This window comes from Homo sapiens, chromosome 4, assembly GCF_000001405.40.
Source record: "Homo sapiens chromosome 4, GRCh38.p14 Primary Assembly".
In the NCBI taxonomy this organism is placed as follows: domain Eukaryota; kingdom Metazoa; phylum Chordata; class Mammalia; order Primates; family Hominidae; genus Homo; species Homo sapiens.
Window position 1 is genome coordinate 88,808,058 of NC_000004.12, and position 19,790 is coordinate 88,827,847.

The 19,790-nt window shown below is 37.0% G+C and overlaps 1 protein-coding gene across 24 annotated transcripts in view, besides 2 other annotated features; it reads right to left on the reverse strand.

Annotated features, from left to right (window-relative positions):
* The window catches only part of FAM13A (family with sequence similarity 13 member A), a 331,226-nt gene that overhangs the window by 82,098 nt on the left and 229,338 nt on the right, over window positions 1–19,790 (reverse strand). For 6 of the 24 annotated variants that reach the window (XM_047449487.1, NM_001265580.2, XM_017007634.3 and 3 more), the window contains exon 1: window positions 14,919–15,175. The exons of the other annotated variants lie outside the window; for them this stretch is intronic. In XM_047449487.1, coding sequence (XP_047305443.1) covers window positions 14,919–14,947 — 29 coding nt within the window. In that variant the 5' untranslated portion in view covers window positions 14,948–15,175. Of the gene's footprint in view, window positions 1–14,918; window positions 15,176–19,790 lie in introns of those variants that run through there. 24 annotated transcript variants of the gene reach the window in all.
* Window positions 14,559–15,246: an enhancer, noted in NCBI's record as "H3K27ac hESC enhancer chr4:89743767-89744454 (GRCh37/hg19 assembly coordinates)". NCBI's record gives its function as "activates a minimal SCP1, AML or CMV promoter by ChIP-STARR-seq in primed H9 embryonic stem cells {active_cell/tissue: H9 hESC(primed)}" and the evidence as "EXISTENCE:reporter gene assay evidence [ECO:0000049][PMID:30033119]".
* Window positions 15,247–15,933: an enhancer, noted in NCBI's record as "H3K27ac hESC enhancer chr4:89744455-89745141 (GRCh37/hg19 assembly coordinates)". NCBI's record gives its function as "activates a minimal SCP1, AML or CMV promoter by ChIP-STARR-seq in primed H9 embryonic stem cells {active_cell/tissue: H9 hESC(primed)}" and the evidence as "EXISTENCE:reporter gene assay evidence [ECO:0000049][PMID:30033119]".

A 19,790-nucleotide genomic window follows, 5' to 3' on the forward strand; every position in this document is an offset into this window, starting at 1 on the left:
AATATAATTTGGAAAGAAAATGAGGGTAAATAAATCAATTTTTATTTTAAAAGCTTATTTCTATTTTCCCTTTCATAAAAGTACCCTTTTCTGGGATTTAGTAATACAATCTAAACAAAGGCATAAATTTTGAGACAACTAAATCATTGATTTCAAATTGATTAAGCCAACTAATTTTAGAAATAAATTTAATGCATTGACTTCGAAGGTAATTTTAAGGAAAAATGGCCACGGACAATTCTTCCAAATAAAATCAACAAAATAAACTTTTCCACAAAATGCACAAACCAGAATGCACATTTGAAAAAATTACCATTTTTATACAGCTGTACAAAGATATTGTACTATTACTACAGGCTCCAAAACATCTTTAACAAAGATCATTTACACCTATTTCTGTTTTCGTGTCAATCTGTCATGTTCAATGATACTAAAGGATTTTGCCTAAACTCTAACTTGAGCATAATTTGTCATAATTTTTTCCTAAAGATGAAATTGAGAATTAATTCTGATTCACTTTTAATTTTTAAAAATAAGCACATGTTCTGTGAATGAAGAAGGAAGTGTGTGTCATGAAATTAAACCAATGACAAATTGAAACAACTTAGAATTCATTCGATTTCCTCCTTGGTTACCAGTAAAAACTCCGTGTTTTAATTATTTCCTATTTGCTGACTCTCAATAATGACCAAGCTTAAGCAGCCAATTATAAGTAGTTTACTTAAAAAAAAAAATCAAACATACATTGAGAGATTTGGGCAATCACCTCATTTATGTGATTATGCTTAATGTTCTCAGATACATGGTACTATATTCTCAAAATAACTGCTTGTAGGAAGAACATTTATCATATAGACCTAAATAACAGTCTAAATCTAAGAAGCTACAACTAAGAATGCCAATAACTTAGATATTTTTATCTACGTTTTAGCAGAGTCCTGTCTAACTTATTTTTTATACAGCTTGACATTGGTTAATGCACATAAATAAATGACACCTAGACTGATAATCTCTTCATGAGTTACCCTAATTTCTAAACTGAAGCCACAGAATGCAGTGCAATGCCTATCAGTTTAATTATACAGCAAGCTAAAGGAAATCATGAAAGGCATAGTGTTGTATATGTCTAAGAAAAACCAAATAATGTTGGGAGAATTCCCAGGGCAAGTACCCAGAATGGATCTTCAATTACTCGATCAAACCACCATTCCATTCCATTCCCTTTTTAACTCTCCAATTACTTCAACTTTCTAATTGGTTAATGTGGCTGGCTACCAGAAAATTAACATAATTTGCATATTTAGCCACACACTTTAAATATATTTCTAAGTGGTTTGAGACAGAAGAAATAGTTTGTAAGTGTTCCTTGAATACTGAAAAGTACAGAAAAACAAGTAAATGCTAAGAATTCGGTCCCATTCATTGAAGAAACTAGAAAAACCATCCATGAGGCTTAAAAAACAAAACAAGGAGCAAAAGAGAAAGTGAGGGACAAGTATAAAGAAACAAAAGAAAAGTATAAAGTAAACATTTTTTCAGGAACTCAGGCATTTTCCACATGTGCTACAAATGTAAGGGGAGGAATTTTCTTAGAGAATGATAAGTGAAGTTAGCACATTTTCCTTTCCTTCCTTGTTCTCAAAACATAAAGTGCAACACATGTACTTGAGCATTTTCAATTTATCCACAGTCTCAGTCGTTAACCATGCCCCTTGCCAACTGGGGAGGTACGTGGCAGCCACTGTTCTGTTGCTTAGGTTTTTGGTTTGGTCCCAATCAAGAACATTAAAAAAAAAAAAGTCCCGGTGGGCTTTTTTTTTTTTTCCTGGAAAACAAATGTAAGAGTTTTCGGATCAGTTCATAACTGTTTGCAGCTGTAATTTGTTGCGGGTGGGGGATATTTTACAATTCTTTTTTGTAAACCCAGGCAGCTTTGTTTATAGTTTTATTATTTGCACTTTGTGCCTAAGAACACAACTCTTAGCCAGTAGAAATACAAATTATTGCAGTTCAAGGGCAAATAGATTTTCCAGACCAAAGGTTAAATGCAAAGAGCTGAAGTTGTTAGTATTCACAGAACAGAAATTTTTAGCTAACAGTAAGAGGTATTATTCTGAAGGCAAAACAAATAGACAAAAAGACTTCCAAAGATTTAGATTTTATTCCAATATGATAGAAAAATATTTCTACCAATTTTTGTCTGTTTAGTGGAAATTTGAAATATACTGTTATCAGCTGAATTATGTCACCCCAAAAATATACACTGAAACCATAATCCCTCATACTTTAGAAAGTTATCTTATTTAGAAACAGGGTCTTGACAGAGATGATCAAATTAAAATAAAGTCATTAAGATGGGCCTGAATCTAATATGACTAATGTCCTTATAAAAAGGGGAAATTTGGACACAGAGACAGATATGCACCCAGGCAGAATATCATGTGAAGATTGGAGTTATGCTGCCCCAAGCAACGGAACTATTTGAAGCTAGGGAAGAGGCCTGGAACATATCAAATTCAGATAGAAAAACATGCCTAACAAAGGTGCTTCAATCTTACTTACACAAAGGTTATGCTCTGAAAGTTCATTTACAGGAATGCTAAGACTATAATCAATTTCCCATACTGACATGGGGATTTGGTTTCCAGGCCTGTATTCAAAAGTCTATCTAACCTCTCATTCAAGTGAACTATCCTCATAAGCAGTCGAGATACAATATTTTTTTAAAGTTTTAATGATGATTCAGTTAGAAACACATTTTATATCACGACAGTATACATACATATAAATCAGATATAAATTTCACAAAAATTATTCTTAGTTTGCTGGGATATTTTCTATTTCGTTATTAATATTGGTCACATCCTGCTAAATTGGCTTTATGACCACTAATAGGTCATGACCCACAGAATTAAAAAATACTGTTCTAGAACACTATGCTAAATACACATCTCCCTTGCTTGCTATATAATGCACACTGAATGAATGCTGATGAATTAAGATCTATGTTCTCACAAGACAAAGGGAAAAAACTATTTCTTTCTCTGTCCTACTGCCAAAATCAGCTCTGGACCAAAGAAGTACAGATTTTGCTGAGTGTAGATGGTAAAGAAAAGCAGAGAGAAAATGGGTCTGGATATGCCCAGTAGTGGGCATGATGACGTAGTTGTGGAAGGCCAGGAGGAGCTGACAGAATATCTCCAAATCTCTCTTAAATAGTCTTTCCCTAGTTACACCACAGGACGGTGTCAAGAATGAGACTCAGAGAGACAGTGAAGGACATCATTTTGCATAGGACATGGCCTCCATGGCTCTTCCTTATTTGTACGACTGTGGCATTCTTTATCACCTATTCTGTCTTCTAGAATCAAAGAAATATTATACTTACAGAAAACTAAGGATCATCTCATTCCATTTCAATCCTACCTACTCAGCTAGTGCCAGCTCTGAATGCCCTTCTGATTAACAGCTTGCAATGTCTAAGAAATTGCATGGAGGTAGGGGTATGTGCATGTGGGGGGAAAAGGAACAGAGTTCTTAAGTGGGGGGTGGGAAGAGGAGTTGCTTTACCTTCCATTTGTTTTGCATCTCTTTCTACAGCTAGAAGGTGAAAAGTGAACCATGACTGCCTGCTGATTGACTGACAGTGCACTTCTCAGGGAATCCTCGCTGAGACATGTGTAGAAGTCACAGAATAGAATCTTATTCTTGTTATAGTATTTACATTGTGTTTATAAGCCAACTGTTTTCCTTAACGACTTTTATCCCTGCTATAGTTTAAATGTGTCTCCCAAAGTTTATGTGTTAGAAACTTAATTCCCAATGAAACAGTGTTGAGAGGTGGAACCTTTAAGAGGTGATTACTTAATAAGGGCTCTGCCCTCAAGAATGGATTAATGCTGTTATTGTGGGAGTGGGTTGGTTAGTATGGGAGTAGGTTCCTGGTAAAAGGATGAGTTTGACACTCTCCCCCCTGCTCATTGAGTTCACTGTGTTGCCCTTCTGCCTTCTGCCACAGGATGACAGAGCTAGAAGGCCCTTGTCAGATATGAGACCTTTGAGCTTGGACTTCCCAGCCTCCAGAACTGTAAGAAATAAGTCTCTGTTCATTATAAATTATCCAGCCCATGGTATTCTGTTTTAGTGGCACAAAATGGACTAAGACAATCTCTTACCTCCATATTTGATCAATTACCAAATTGTACGGATTATGTCTCAAAAAAAGGATGTGTCTCTTGAGTCAGATCTCTCCTTTCCATTTCCACTGTATTAGTCTTTCACAGGGGCAATACTATTTCCTTGTTTTCCACACTAGTTCGTCCTTAGCCTCTCCTACTTCCCCACTGCATTTGGGATAAAAATCCAAATGCCTAAATCTGGCACATGAAGTCCCTCCCAATTGCAACCCAACATATCTCTACAAACCTCATTGCACTTTTGCAACTCTTTCCATTTGTACATGTTGTTCTTTCTACCTTAAATCCTTTCTCCACCTCTCTCTGCCTGGTAAATACTTCATCTCTCAGTTCAAGTGTCATCTAATCTGGGAAGCCATCTCTAGCACCCTGGAGAGGGAGTTGCTTCTTCCTCCAGGCTTCAAGACACTTTGTTCATAGCTATAACCGAGTGCTTAGCACATAACACTGAAATTCATGAGCTCAGAGGCTTGTCTCATTTCCAGATTTGTTGTTATCTTTGTAACAACAGCACCTAGCTAGGTACCAAGAACACTGCATGTGCTTAGTAAATGGCTCTTGAATAAAATCACTATCATCAAGATTTTGCTGAGTGCTTGCAGTAGTGTTTGATTAAATATTTTGAAAACATACTGTTTATAATTTGTAAAACTAATTTTGCCTAGGAGCATTCTCTGATATCTGTACATTGATTATTTTAAATTTTCTTTTTCCCATCTATTCAAAACTTAATGAATCTTCAGCTGTGCCATGGGTTTTCTCCCATCCTTACTTAAAGAAAATCATTTCTTTTTTCCAACTGCACAATAAGAGGTGGGAGCTTTGCCATTATGCCCATAATTTTAACACTGTACTCTTTGTGGTATACAGAGAACCCAGAAAATGATATGTTCGGGCAAGGTAATGTTTGAGTATGGCCTTGCCACACACTATATCTGTTTGTTCTGGCTTGAGAGTAGGGGAAAAAAAATTATTTCACTTCACGCCAAACACAAAGATTGTTTGAGGTTTGAAGAAATTTTGGGCAGCTGGAAGCTTTCATTTGTCTTTAAGATCTTGTTCAGAAAAGTGATGTTTATCATTATTATAAACATAAAAACATTGTCTTAGGGAGGCAGTAATTTAGAACGTAAAATACAGTAACGTTCTTTGGGGGGATGAAATTAGTTGATGAGAAAATATTTTTATAACATTAGTAAATAAAGTATTTTCAAATCTTTAGTCACTGAAACAAAATCAAAACAATATGGGGATACCTGTAGAAGGAAAGAAGGAAAAAGAAAATTGTTTTTGCTAACTTCTTTCAATTATTACCTTATTGCAAATTTATTAAGGGTTTGTTAACACAGTTTTAACAGACACATAATTTCCCAAACTGTTAACTCTGAATGTGGAATTCTTGAGACAAAGATGTGCAGAAGGCATGCAAATTATCCTGTCATCCTCTCCCGAACACCCCTCACCTCAGCCAGAGGAGGACTGTGCACAGAAAAATGGGTCAAGGCTTGTTTCTGACATCATCTTGACTTTCCGCTGCTTTTTAGGATGATGAGCAGCAACTGGAAAGTGAATGAAGGTTTGATGTCAACCTACACCTAGACTTTGGGCGCTTCCACAACCACGGGCAGGTGCTCATATGAGAACATTTTCTGAGTGTATTAGAATCCATGATCGATACACAGGCTAAGAAAACACAATCCCAACTTTCACGGAATTTACAGGCTAGCAGAGAAATGGAAACCTGAAATTTGATTATTATAAAAAAAGGATACATAACTACCATTGATTGAGAGCTCACCATAAAAAGCCAGGCTTTGTACAAAGCGTTTACGTGCATTATCTCATTCAATCCTCAAAGACATCATGGAGGAAGGAATTACTAACCAGATTTTTCAGATAAGAAGAACAAGTTTTAGAAAGGTTAATTAACAGGCTGAAGGCCATAGAGGCAGTCAACGGCTGAGGTTCCAATCCAAGTCTGAAGTCAGAGCTCCAGCCCTTCCACTCTGAAGCACTATGCAGTCTGGCAGATTAGCTGAGGCTCAGTTAGATAAGCCACACAGGGAGTGAATTTTGAGGGTCACGTAGGCATTTTTTTGGGAGAAAGATAATGCACAGGAGGAGAACTATGAGAGAGACAGAGAGAGAGAGAAGAGAGAATGTGCTTGGAAAGCATGGGAGAATTAATAACTCGGCAGGTGTGGCAATTGAGGGAGTTCAGCACCAGGGGCGCAGCAGTGACCTGCCAGAAAGCTGACACTGGAGAAACAGGCAGGCTTTTGGGTTTCTATCAAATCAAGGAGTTGAAAAAGAGGAAAGTCACTTATAAAAATAAAACACAGGGTATCAATGGTCTACTCAGGCCAGCATTTAGTTTCTAATTTTAGTTTCAAGAGTTATTTTAACCTAGACAGCGAAATTATTTCTTTTTATAATCATTTTGCTGACTGCAAAATACTGGTATCTATTATGTTTTTTTCTAAACGCTTAATTTTTTTCTCTAGCCTTTCAGTTCCATTCCTTTAATATGATCTGAGTAAAGCAGTTCAATTCTTTATTTTTATTTCTAGTAAGTTCAAGTTTTCTGAAGTCTTTTTTTTGGGGGGAGTGTGACAGGGTCTTAATCTGTCATCTAGGCTGGAGTACAGTGGCATGATCATACCTCACTGCAGCCTCAAACTCCTGGGCTAGAGTGACCCTCCTACCTCAGCTTGTAGGTAGGACTACAGGCATATGCCACCATGCACAGATAATTTTTAAAAAAAATTTTGTAGAGACAGAGTCTCACTATGTTGCTCAGGCTGGTCTCCAACTCCTGGTTTCCAGCGATCCTCCTGCCTCTGCCTACCAAAGCACTGGGATTACAGGTGTGTGCCACCGCACCCAGCTTCCCTGAGTTTTATTCTTAGATTTGATGAGAAGATACCATGTTTTCCTGAGCTTGGTCTTTAAAGGTATTATAAAACATATGTCTTAAACCACCCCCCCACCTCATTATTTTCACTTTGTTACTTAGGCACCTTAATTTTAAAGAGCAACTTCCGAGGCTTCTCCTATCTTATTTTTACCACCCCTGGCCCCACTATTTCCCATTAACATGTCTTTTCTCATGCAAAAACTAAAATCAATTTCCATATCTGGCTTTGGGATAATTTGCACAAGGGTTATAATGTACTATACTTTGGTTCTGGAGTCCGTTATTTGTTTAGCAACAATATTCTAAGTCTATACTTGATATCAGAAGTCAAATTTATTTCAGAGCTTATCTTAAAATGATGGTTTAAAATTTGAAAGGGATTTTAAATTTAGAAATACAGACAAATCTCTTTGCAAGAAAAGGACATAGATCAAAAGATTCATTTACAATTTTTAAAGTGTACTCATGTGTACTTGGTCAAAACAAAGTTCATCTGCCATTTTTATGTGTAAAAATGGACTTGTCATAATTTCCTTCAGTGTATCTCTATCAGCTAAGATATTGTGTGACCTGAAAATGTTTATTATAATCTGAAAACTTTAAAATATTTATTAGAAATTCAATCTTGAACTACGTTTATTTAGAAAAATTAAAGAAGGCTGAATGTAACATTGCTCTTAACATTTTCCATTGACAGATGTATGTTTATCCCTAGTGTATAAACTACTCAGTGTCTATGACAAAACATTCCTCCAAATACAAAATATTAATAGTTGCTATCTGTACTAGGAATAAGAGAATCCAAGTTCTTTTTCTAAAAAAAAAAAAGAAAGGTAAATTCAACTTTTTTGAATAAATCTTTATCTTAAAAAAACCAAAGTAGAATTAATTCCAGATAATTACAAAATAGTCTTTTATCCTCTCTATCATTATATAAGAAAAAAGAAGCAGAAGAGGAAACCTTCCTATTTCAATGTACATATAAAATAGGAACTTCATTTTCCTTAAACTGCATTAATGAATACAGTAACTCTGGGAAATAAACTAAAAACTATTTCCTCTTTCTCAAGGTAAATATCAAATACTCCGCAATGTAAACAGAAGTAGTGTTCCAAATTGTTTTTTCTTTGCACTACAGGAATGCTTATATAATAACTAAGGGTGAGTAAATTACTTGCAATTTTTTAGTATAAGAATATTCCTAGCAATTTATATGGAAAGCTTTAGAAATTATGTCGACAATAGTGTTCTGATATGCTTCCATTAAATTTCTCTGTAGTCTCCAATTCAGCAAGTATTTACTGAGTACCTGCTACGTGCCTAACATAAAAACAACTTAAGCTGCCCTGTCCCGAGTCACTTTTAATCTGTAGTGCAGTAAGTGTCTATATATTAGAGCTCAATGCTAATGGGAGGAAGGTCAGGAGTTCAGTTTCCTCTGCCAGTTAGCTAGTTTTTATCTTTTGAATGACAATAGACTCTTCCCTTTACTAAGCTTCTAATGGGGGAAAACTCCACTATTAATCCCAAATACATGCCATGATCATCAACTTCGTATACAAATGGCTATTCTTTAGACATGTGTGTAGAGTGTTTTCCATTTGTTTCTACATATGTCACTGAACAAGTCATTTTGTTTCCCTGTGTTTGAGTTCAGTCATCTGGAAAATGGAAGCTATAATTTAGATTATCTTTAGGGATCCGTTTGGCTCTAAAATAGAGTCTATATTTTCATAATTCTCAAAAGTTACTTTTGCATATGTTAATAGCAGCATTATTCATAACAGCCAAAAGGTGGAAATAACCCAAATGTCCATCAACTGATGAATGGATAAACGAAATTTGCTACATCCATATATCATAATATTATTCAGCCATAAAAAGGAATGAAGTATTGATACATGCCACAACATGGATGAATCTTGAAAACATTATACCAAGGGGAAGAAACTACTCACAAAAGATTACCTATGATATGATTACATGCAAACTGATGATATGATTACATGCAAACTGTACAACTCTGTGAATATACTCAAAACTATTGAATTGCATATTTGTATGATATGTGAATTATATCTCAATAAAGCTGTTAAAAAATTATTTCTATAGCCAAGCATGGTGGCTCATGCCTGTAATCCCAGCATTTTGGGAGGCTGAGGCGGGTAGATCACTTGAGGTCAGGAGTTTGAGACTAGCCTGGCCAACATGGTGAAACCTCGTCTCTACGAAAAATACAAAAATTAGCTGGGCATGGTGGTGCATGCCTGTACTCCCAGCTACTCAGGAGGGTGAGCCAGGGGAATTGCTTGAACCCAGGAGGCAGAGGTTGCAATGAGCCAAGATCGTGCCACTGCACTCCAGCCTAGGGGACAGAGCAAGACTCTGTCTCAAAAAAAAAAAAAAGTTATTTCTAGTTCTTCTTAAGGTAAGAATAAATAGTGCATTAAAAATGTTTAATACAGAACATACTATTCCATTGGGAATCCATTCTGCACCACAGACAAATGTAAGTTTCATAGGAAAAAATAGGGTGAAAGCTTTGAGAGTTTCAAGAAATTTGGTTCAATTCTATTTTCAACAGTACTTCCTGCAAACCATTCCAGAGGTCATCTTCCAATATTGATGCGATGAAATGCACTGCAATGATATAGCACTACCTGAACTGTGCTAAGCACTTTTGCATTGATGGAATTGAAACTGTATTGCAAGCATAAGAAGACAAAACTAAAAGAAAAGCAACATACCCTTTACATCTGAGTAGTTTCATCATTTACAAAACAAACAAAACAAAACCCACAAAACCAAAACTATCACTTTTTCTTTTTCTTGAGACAGAGTCTTCCACTGTCGCACAGACTGGAGTGCAGTGGCATGAACTCAGCTCACTGCAACCTCTAACTCCAGGGTTCAGGTGATTCTTGTGCCTCAGCCTCCCAAGTAGCTGGGATTACAGGAGCATGCCAGCACGCCCAGATAATTTTTTTTTTTGTTTTTCTTTTTGTATTTTTAGTAGAGACGGATTTCACCATGTTGGCCAGGCTGGTCTCAAACTCCTGACCTCCAGTGATCCCCCCCGGACTTGGCCTTCCAGAGTGCTGGGATTACAGACATGAACCACTGTGCCTAGTCCTATCACATTCTTTAACTCCAAAATCTCCCTCATAAAATAAGTACCTTGGGTGGTATCATCTCTTACAGACAATGAAAATGACCTGCTCAAATTCATATATGGCCAGCTAGCTGTCAGTGTCTATATATGTTTTCTGATGGCAAGTTTACCACTGGTTTGTACTGAATAGTTAACATCTTTACTTTTTCAGTGGTTTAGACAGGATGATCCTAAAATTTGAAAATATCCTCACCTTAGTTCATGTTATCTTCTTTATTTGGAGTAATTAGCAAATATTTGGGCTCCATGGGTAATTAAACCATCATGTGAGAACAGAGCCCACAGAGATCTTATTTGTTCTCACTGACAGTGATAAAGCATAAATTCAGACACACAACCCATAGGCACTGGCCCAGATTTAAAGTGAGGCAGCTTTTAACTCCCTCCCAGACTGTGTTTGTGGAGGGAGAGGGCAGTGCCAGGAGTGCTACCAGAGTGCCAACAAGTTAGGAAAAACAGAGACTTCTAGATAAATTAACTGAAAGGTGTCATCTCCACGAGCAGCAGAGGGCTCTCTAACACCACACAGAAACTCACAAGCTGGCCCAACATTACCTGGGTTCTTCCCTGGTGAACTCCCATACCATCCCCATGTTATCAACGTTTACGTTGGCAAAAGGATATTCTAAAGAGCGATGCTTAGGAAGAACTGATGAATTCTACTGATAAGAAGCTTCAGTGAAACTTTTAGATATTGGGTCACTAATACATGTTTATTAATCGTCTTTAAGTCTTTTTTGAAGAAGAGCCACTGCAATTTGGAATTATGATGTGCTTCACCATCATAAAACAAATATTCAATAATATACACTGGATATCATTATTTGCTACATGAAAAAAATAATTACATAGACATGATTGATTTCAGCTTCTCACTTTGGTAGACAAACCCAGGAAAGAACAGGATGCCAACACATGAAAGCAGATGTCAATGCACTGAAATCAAAGGAATCCACATCAATCATCAGCACTCACAGGTTCATAACTTCATCTCATCTGCCATCATTATTCCTTGTGGATATAAATTCAGTTAGTTTACTGGAAAGTTAGTCTAGCAAATTAAAATACTGCAATGAAAGTTGAGAGTTTTGTCATAGCTATGACTCAGAGTTAAAATTTTGTATCTTAGCCTGCTTGAGTCTTTCTATACATAAAATAGAGATCCTTACCTACATCCCCACAATACCTAAGGGGAAGAAAACTCAATGAAATATGAATTGTACAAAGAGCCTGTGGTACAAACTAGGCCTGAGATCTGACAAAACAGATTATCTCATTAGTGACAGAAGGTAAATTTAGTCACCTGAGAAAACTTATATTTCAATTCTTAGTTTAATATAGTTTCTCCCTCCCTTTATTTCTGATATTATTTTATTTTTCTCAAGGAACTTTTTCCGATGCTAAGAATATCCATATAAGTTGATACACTATGTTGAGTTTCATTATTAGCTATAAGTAGTATGTAAATATTTTAGTATTTTAAAAAATAACTGGGACTGTTTAATTATCTCAATAGAGATAGTTAATAAGATCCTGTCTTTAAGCCATGTAGTGAATCATTAAGAACTGAGGACTTTACAGAAGGTTGTAATTTAAACATTCAGCCTCTGCCATGTTTTTTCTAAAGATCATGAGTTTCTAAACAGCCAACTCCATCCTGGAAACTCTGCCAATAACATTCAGTAATAAACAGATAGCAAGACACATTTTATTTCATTTTTAGTTTTTGACCTTATCTGTCATTCTCATCTTGGCTACAGATTAGCAGTAACAACGTATCTTCTATACACTCTCACAATACGCTAAGAAAGGCTAAAGAGGCATTTATGAAAACTGTAAGTTAAGTAGACATTAGGGTACAAACATGCCCCTAATAAAATCACACACTTACACGGGGTTAAATAATACACAGGATAATATTATCCATCTAGGCACATCTCTATTATTACTATGCTAATCATACTGTGTATTACTGAATTCACCACATGGTACTGTAATTGTCTGGTAATGTGTCTGCATCCTAACTAGCATGTGACCTCTTTGAAGGAGAGCTGTGTCTTAATTACCTTAGGATAACTGGCAGTACAGAGTAGTGTTCAGTCAAAGAGAAAATATTAAACAACACTCTAAGTATGTTTTGTTTTAATAGGTAAAACTGACAATTTAGGAAATGAAAGCATCAATTATGAAAAAATCCTCACATAAGGTCAGATATTAAATATGCTATTTGGAGATGTTGAGTAGTATAATGCTAGATTCCTATATATGCCAGCTGTCACTAGCTTTATAAGCGCTATAATCATTAACTAGAATTTAGATCAGTGTTTCTCTACGAGTGGACCATCTGCATTAGATTTAGGAAGCTTGTTAAAATGCAGATGCTCTCTCTGCTACCTCCAGATTTGGATGCAGTGAGTCTAGGGAAGGAGGGCAACAGGAAGGATTTGATTTGAAAAATAAGTTCCTTAGGTAATTCTCATGCACTCAAAGTATGAGAAGCATTGAACTCTCTGCTAAATACAAACAGTGAGCATGAATTTCTTTAGCTGCTATTTAAAGCTATTCTTTTACACATCCAATTTCAATGTAGTTTCTATCCCTTGGTGCTCTTAAACAGAATGGAACAAAGCACTCCTTCCAAGAATACTGCTAAGGCTCTGGAACCTTCCTGCTTCAGGCCCATAACGGTGGGGAGAGTCCGCAATAGTCATCATTACCACGAGAGTCACAGAAATCAATAGCCAAAGATACCAAACTGGGATTTGAAGAAACAATTACACGTAAGGGCGGGAAAGTTTTCTACACAAATGCTTAAATTCACAAGGCACGCTTAACAAAGACAACCGCACAAACCTGGTCTTTACCTTCAGGAGGTTTATAACCAAAGGTAGGTACAGGCTGGCAGTAAAGATTGCAGGGAAATCAGTCAAATTAAACTCTAAGAGCTGGGTAAACATTGCGGCAGTGAATGCACGTAACAGCGCTCTTCAGAATGGTAATGCAAAGAAACAAAAGTAGCAACTCAACATTCTTGAATGCAAATTCAAATTATTCCTGCATTTATTCCTACTAGGTTCATTAATCATGACTAAAAATACAAAATAATTTACAGGAAATAATGATGGTTTTATTTTAGCTTTAATCGTTTTGATTGCCTAAACAATGTTTTAACAGTATAAAGATCTATTTTCTTCTTAACAATTATTAGAGCATCACATGGCTGGCTATTAGAGTTCAGTAGTAGCCAATATTCTTATCTAGAATACAATTCGCTTAAAACCCTTAAGAACTGATGTCATTATAAGGGGAAAAATGTCTCCAACTTTAAAGTTGGAAACCAAATCAAGACTCCACAAAGTGTTTTAGTCTCTCACAAGCTTTAAGCATGTGGACATTTTCACTGAGTTCACGTAGAAAAATTTTAGATATATTTGTAAACCACTTTCTGCTCCCTTGGATTCTTAATTTTTACAAAAGGAACTCTTTGGACACCCCCATCAGGTTCCCATGACAGTGTCCTTGTTAGTACAGTGAAGGAAAAATGACTATACTGTTTTATCTCACTGTAAGTATCTGTAGAAACCATTTTGCAAATAAGCAATGTTTTAAAGCTTATTTTTCATTGCTAAAACAAAAACATTCACTGAAATATTTGTGGCATGGTTTTTAAAAATGAAATTAGTTTTTGTCTAGTTTTTTTTATCCTTAAATAAACCACATTTACTATTTGATTTAAAATTTTTTTTTTACTAATAAAACCTTCTATAGTTTTCCTAAATGAAACATTTCTATGGAATGAAATGCCACTGCATGTAAAGCAGTTGAAGTTGAAATAGGACAATATGATTAGCAAAGGTAATGTTTAAAATCCTAAAATGTGACCTTGGGCAGCCCTGAGGCCCTCTCCATGCCTACATTCTTCACTTCTTAGTTCACAACAGTGTTCTTTTTCATAAGACCCTTTGTTTAAATTTACCTTTCTCTGCTTTGGTATAACTCCTTCGCCTCCCCCCAGACCCACAATCTATATTATAATCACGAAGGAACAAAAACAGTCTTGCACTCAATCATTCTTACTAAGCAGTTTTAAAAAATGCTATTTGTGTAATAAATCTGTCTGGAATTATTGAAGGGGAAATGTTATCCTTAACATTTATTCTCACATATTATGATGTACTTATTCATGGAAAATCCTTGCCTAGATCTGAACTCCAGAAGAGAAGAATCTTGTGATGCATTTTAAAAGGTCTTCAGCCTATCAACATCCTTTAAAATAGCCTTAGCAGGAACACTGCTAAGAAGCGGATTCAGTTTTTATTATAAACTCGCTCATTATACTTCTCAGTCCATGTTTTTCTTCAGATTTCAAAGGTATTTTCTTATATTCATTTCCATTCAGAGAAGGATATAACTAAATACAACAATCAAGTGAAAAAGATAAGTTGGGCAAAATGTCAGTAAAAGAGCAGTATAATATTTAATTTTTTCTGTTCTTAGGGAGGAACCATATGTACAACGGACTCTACACACTTTGCAGCATGTTACTAAAAGATGCCAAGTACTGGCAAAGTTATATGGCTTGATACAACTCAAAAAATACATAGCAGAATAAAATAAAATAGGAAAATACTACCTTTGCAGAGGCATGATTTCACAAGCCATTCTCGTATGTAAATTTGCAAGGGAATCTCACAACTGTCTCTTCCACGGCAAGTTTGGTCGTCTGTACAGTGAACGTCTTCTTACAGTGGCTAAGCTGGGTTGGGGGCATGAGGCTGCACCGCACGGCTGGAGAAACAACTTGCTCTGCAGTTGGCCAGTCTACTGCTGCTCTCAGCCTCCAAACTTCTTCAGGCAATGCTATTTTATCGGCTGCTTCTCTACATTTACACTGCAGTCCACTTTGACCTTTTGTTCCAGGGAAGCAGCTGAACCACCGGGCCAATCAGAGCAGCAGCTGCTGCAGCACTAAAGGCGCTCCTCCTCCTCCCCCGCACCCTACTCCTTCTGCTCCTCAATGGTCCCTCCTCCTCCTCTTCCTCCTCCTCCTTCTCTCCTCCTGCTCCTGCTCCTCAGTGGGCTTGCCTAGTTCTGGTAACTTGAAACTTTCCTCTGAGCAGTTCCACAGACAAGATTTTCAGTCTGGGGCAAGCAACCAATAACTGCAGCAAGAGCCAAGAGTCCTGTACTTCTCAACATTACAGAGACTGCCAGCAAGGATTCCATTTGTCAAGGAAAGACACTGCCCACGAAACTAAAGGTTTCTGTAGCAGAAGGCAAGAGTTATGTTGCGTCCCCTTTCTTCCTTAAAACAAAACAAAACGAAACAAAAACACTAGCCTTGAAAGGAGTGAGACTTTTCTAGAAGGAAAGCATGCCTCTAGACCCTTGCCCTACCCACATGTATTTCCTGCTGATGTTTGTTTACACTGCGGTGGTTACTAGTCGCTGGTGACATCACCCAGCGCACGTAGCTCCACTTCTGGGGAGGATACGTGCCCTAAGTCTCTGCCCAAGTTCTTAAGGGATCAGAATCCACTCTAATGAAAATTGTTTCAACTTACTATTTCTGCATTTTATTCTTATAAAACTGAATGTGTTTACACAGTTATTTTTCTCCATGAACATCAACAGCATTTTGGGGGGGTTGCTTTTTATTTTTATTTTTTTTTATAGGTAACACAAAATCAGTTTTTCCATAAAGTCTTCTAAATATTTGTTAATTATCACCTTCCCCTTATAATTTCTTCTTTGGTGTAGAATACCAGGGTGTTATTTTTAGGAACATAAATCCTAATCCATAGATTTTATACATTTTAAGAAAAATAGCAGAAATATATTTACATGATATTTTTTTCACATCATGAGTTGTAAAAAATTACAACATAGTCCAGACCATCACTTCTAGTAGTAGAAGGAACATGACATTCAGAAACAGTGAGGGCTTGTAGGCATGAGGTATCCCCTTCCCCTGTAATTTTTCCCCAATTTTATATAGATCACTCATAATTCTGAATTTAGAACACAAGGTCCTATTTATTATAAGACATCTGCTTTTCTTTGCTATACCTGCTAATAAAAACATTTTCATTGTCTGACTAAATAATCTGTGTTTATGAAAATAGATTTGCCATCCTAAAACTATCATCATACATAATGATAAACTATCAGTAACTAAAATCAGCCTTTTAAAACAAAAGGAGTTGATTTAACCCCAAACTTATTTCAACTGAAATTGTCTATACTTTTTTGATTCTAGATTTACAAATTCTAATTTGATTTTCTAGTAACATAACTTAGTTCCATATATTTCCATACCATTTTTATTTTAAAAAATCACTTTAACTCTTGCTTAACACTTTATTATTTATTTATTTATTTTTGAGATGGAGTCTTGCTCTGTCACCCAGGCTGGAGTGCTGTGGCACAATCTTGGCTCACTGCAACCTCCGCCTCCTGGGTTCAAGCGATTCTCCTTCCTCAGCCTCCCGAGTAGCTGGAATTACAGGCGCCCGCCACCATGACTGGCTAATTTTTGTGGTTTTAGTAGAGATGGGGTTTTACCATATTGGCCAGGCTGGTCTCGAACTCCTGACCTCAGGTGATCCGCCCACCTCGGCCTCCCAAAGTGCTGGGATTACTGGCTTAAGCTTAACACTTTAAATAGCTGCTTGAGGTAGAAAATCACAATTATACATCATAATATCTATTTTATTGATGAGTAAACTTGGTACTAGAAAATAACCTGTTCAAATTTACATGGAAAGGTAGTGGCAGAACAGAACCTGGAATCGGAATTTCTCCTGTCTATTCTGGAACTCGCTGCTATATAGAGGAATTGTGGAACCACAGTGCTGACTCTATTCTGTGTGAATTTTTTTTTTTGGGGGGGGGATGGAATCTTGCTCTGTCACCCAGGCTGGAGTGCAGTGGCGTGATCTCGGCTCACTGCAATCTCCACCTCCCAGGTTCAAGTGATTCTCCTGTCTTAGCCTCCTGAGTAGCTGGGATTACAGGTGCTCGCCACCATGCCCCCCCTAATTTTTGTATTTTTAGTAGAGATGGGGTTTCACCATGTTGGTCAGGCTGGTCTCGAACTCCTGACCTCAAATGATCCACCTGCCTCAGCCTCCCAAAGTGCTGAGATTACAGGCGGAGCCACTACGCCTGGCATGAACGTTTTAAATATCTTATACAAATATTTTCAGAAATAGTTAATATTCAAGTGACAGAAATATTATTTTGTCCTTTCTGAATTTTATGAACACATTAATACTACCTGGCTAAAATAGACATAAAAGCTCAATAATAAAGGACCCAGCATTAAAAAAAATGTTAAGTTGAACTACAACACTCAATACATTCAAAATATGTTAAACTGAATTGCAATTTACATTTAATATTAGATTTCACATATATTTCCTAATAAATTAAGTTGCCCTATCAACATTCCTCTAACATGCCACATTACATAAAATGTCAATTTTTTTAAAAAAATTAATTAATGCTATAACTCAATAACTACATGCTTTTTCCAGTCTCCATCATTTATAACAATTCCTCCTTTTTATGGTTTTTGATCTATTTTGGGGGCATTATTTGATAATTGTTTCTGAATTTGTACCTGATTGCAGCCCCTTCTCTCTACCCCAGCCACTGCCAGAGTTCTTGATCACTTAAATACTTTTCTTATTTCTATTTCTAACATCCTCTTGTCAGTGCATAGTCAGGGAGTGGGAGTGCCATTCATGACCTCTGTCACTTCTAATTTTTCAAACACGGTATTTCAACTGCATTTCCCTGGCTACATTTCCCTTTCACTGAGCCCCTTAATGTGCATCCCTCTTAACCCCCACTACTTCTCCCTCTCCCATTCCTCTGCCTTTTCACTTAGCTCTCTGTTCAACTCCAACTGTTTTGTGATGTCCACAGAGGATAGCCTGCAATCATACCAACTGGCACGTAGGATTAAAAAAAAAAAAAAAAAAACCATTCCTGACCCTCCTGAGCATTTAGTTATTTCTAAAATGGGTTCCCTAGCATCTTCCACTTCTTCCCCCTTTATAAGTCCTGCCATCTGGGCTGTCTATTGCCAGAGTGCTAACGATTGCAAAAGAAAATCTCATAACTTGGTAACTAGTTATACTAAAAATTCGTAATACTTAAACTTAGTTTGAACCACAATACTGTGTTACAACCTTTTTTATTATCTTTGACTGTTCACTGCATTCCCGCTTCAAATCTTCTCCAGTGCCACAAAACAGAACCTCTCTCACTCACTAATTATTTCACCTGCCAATTGACTGAGAAAATCAAGATCATCAAATATAAGCGAGTGCCTTTGGTCTTCTCTGCTCCACCTACCACTCCTGTTCCCACTCCAGCACACATCTTGCCTCACTCTTTATGACGTCCTCTTGGTTTAGGAGAAAGGGTCCTCACATATAGGTCTCAAGCCTCTTATCTGTGTATTGGATCTCATCATTTTCTCCTTCCTCTGGAAGAAGCCTGGTCTCTCCTACATCTTGAATCTGCCCCTCGCTACTTGCTTCTCCTCCCTTCTGACAGGCAACCAAGTGAGTGTCCCTCAGTATTAGAAAGTGCTTCTCAGCAGTCCTACCCTCTGGTGCTGCAGAGCTATTTCCCTCTTCCTTCCCCACTTACAGACTTCCCCCAAATCTATCTCTGCTGCCTCCACTTCCTCATAAATTACTTATTCCTCCATCCCATGCCAATGGACTTCGACCTTTACCACTTTTCCAAAACTGCTTTTAGGGTCTTTTGACCACTAAATCCAAATGCCTTTTCTTAGATCCTCTCCTACTCTTGACTTTTCTGAAACACTCACCTTCAGTTTTCTGAAAGTCTTTGGTTCTCTGTGATCTTTCTTGGGAATTCACCAAACCTTCTTGATCAACATTCGCCTTTGATTTCATCTGTCTTTCCTCCTCGTTTAGCCCTGCCTCCAAGCCCAACACCATTCAATACACGCATTCAATAAATTGGGCGCTGCAATTACACCTCTGGGGGCTGGATCCTGACTTCACCCCTGACAGGCAGTGCAAACTTGGGCAGGTTGTTTAAAAGCTCTGAGGCTGCTCTGAGGAATAAATGAGGCCATGCATGTAAAATATATAGAATAGTGCCTGGCAAATAGTTAAGTGCTCAATAATTATTAGTATTATCAACCCAATCAAACATTCAAGACTTCATATTATCTGATCTCCAAATTTCTCTTCCTCCTGGCCCTTCTTGATAATGATGTAATTATTCCCTTTGTGAATCAGATTTAAACCATGAGTCATCTTTACTCCTCCCTCTCCTCTCCTACCCTCAACCAAATCTATTGATTGACCTGTCATGTTTCTTTAATCAATCTGCCTAGGTTATCTGTACTCTTAGGATAACGTTCAAAATATTCTTTCTGCCACCATAGCACACATTCCACTATTAGTCAACATCCTACCATGCTTGCGATTTGGTAACTCATTTTTGTACTCAAAAA